Source organism: Homo sapiens, chromosome 9 (assembly GCF_000001405.40).
Source record: "Homo sapiens chromosome 9, GRCh38.p14 Primary Assembly".
Taxonomy (NCBI): Eukaryota; Metazoa; Chordata; class Mammalia; order Primates; family Hominidae; genus Homo; species Homo sapiens.
This window is the reverse complement of record NC_000009.12, coordinates 17053478-17055045: the sequence shown is the minus strand read 5'-3', so window position 1 is coordinate 17055045 and position 1568 is coordinate 17053478. Positions and strand designations below refer to the sequence as shown.

The window sequence follows — 1568 nt, the reverse complement described above, 5'->3', positions numbered from 1 at the left end:
TCTACTAAAAATACAAAAATCAGCTGGGCGTGGCAGCATGTGCCTTTCGTCCCAGCTGCTCGGGAGGCTGAGGCAGAAGAATCGCTTGAACCCGGGAGGCAGGGGTTGCAGTGAGCCAAGATCACACCACTGCACTCCAGCCTGGGCAACAGAGCGAGCCTCTGTCTCAAAAAAAAAAAAAAAAAAGAAAGAAAAAAAAAGAAGAAATCAAGATCTTAAAGAGAAAAAATAAGTAAGATTTCTGGTTCCTCTATTCTACCCAGTTACATAGATTAAGCTAAAATTCGTGTCTTCTCTCAAGACTTGAACAATTCTCCAAAGCTGTCATCCACTCCTATGACTCTCATACACATTGCACATTCCCCTTCTGGGGCACCTGTAAGACTGAATCATAATTATTTGAGTACAGGCTGTAAACAACTCAGTGTAGGACCAATGTCTAGTTATTTCTTATTTAGTGCTTAGAATAAAATGAATATTCAATAATTTTTATTTTGGCCAGTTGTGGTGGCTCAAACCTATAATCCCAATGCCTCAGGAGGCAGAGGTGGGAGGATCACTGGAAGCCAGGAGTTCGAGACCAGTCTGGACAACATAGTGAGATCCTGTCTCTACATTAAAAAAAAAAAAATTAGCCGGGTCTGGTGGCACATGCCTGTAATCCCAGCTACTCAGGAGGCTGAAGTGGGAGGACTGCTTGAGCCCAAGAGTTTGAGGTTGCAGTAAGTTACGATCACGTCACTACGTTCCAGCCTGGGTGATAGAGCGAGCCTCTGTCTCAAAAAATAGTAATAATAAAAAGAATAATTTAAATTAAAAATAATTTTTACTTTAATTACTTATAGAGGGGGTCTCACTGTGTTGCCCAGGCTGGCATGCTTTAGCTATTCACAGGTGTGATTCCAATACTGATCAGCAGGGGTGTTTTGACCTGTTCTGTTTCCAGCCTGGGCCAGTTCACCCCTCCTTAGGCAACCCAGTGGTCCCACTCCCCCAGAAGGTCCCCATATCGATGTCCAACTTAGTGCATTCACCCAATCAGCATAGTGCACTACAGCCCAGAACTCCTGGACTCAAGAGACCCTCCCAGCTCAGCCTCCTGAGGAGCTGTGACTACAGGCACTGCCACCTCCACCTCACCCGGCAATGTTGAATAATTTTTTTGTTTTTTTGAGACAGAGTCTCGCTTTGTCACCCAGGCTGGAGTGCAGTGGCTTGGTCTTGGCTCATTGCAACCTCTGCCTCCCGGGTTCAAGCAATTCTTCTGCCTCAGCTTCCTGAGTGGCTGGGATTAGAGGTGCCTGCCACCAAGCCTGGCTAATGTTTGTATTTTTAATAAAGACAGGGTTTCACCACATAGGCCAGGCTCGTCTGGAACTCCTGACCTCAGGTGATCTGCCCCGCTCGGCCTCCCAAAGTGCGGGGATGACAGGCATGAGCCACCGCACCTGGCCTGTTGAATAATTTTTGAACATGAATTAATAGGCAAACCATAGCAGGAAAAGTGATGACCTCTCTGAAACACTCATGTGGCTGATGCCCTCTGATCAGTTCACTCTGACTTCCAT

General features: G+C 46.2%; 1 pseudogene; it reads right to left on the bottom strand.

Annotated features, from left to right (window-relative positions):
• Positions 844 to 1145, bottom strand: RN7SL720P (RNA, 7SL, cytoplasmic 720, pseudogene; annotated as a pseudogene).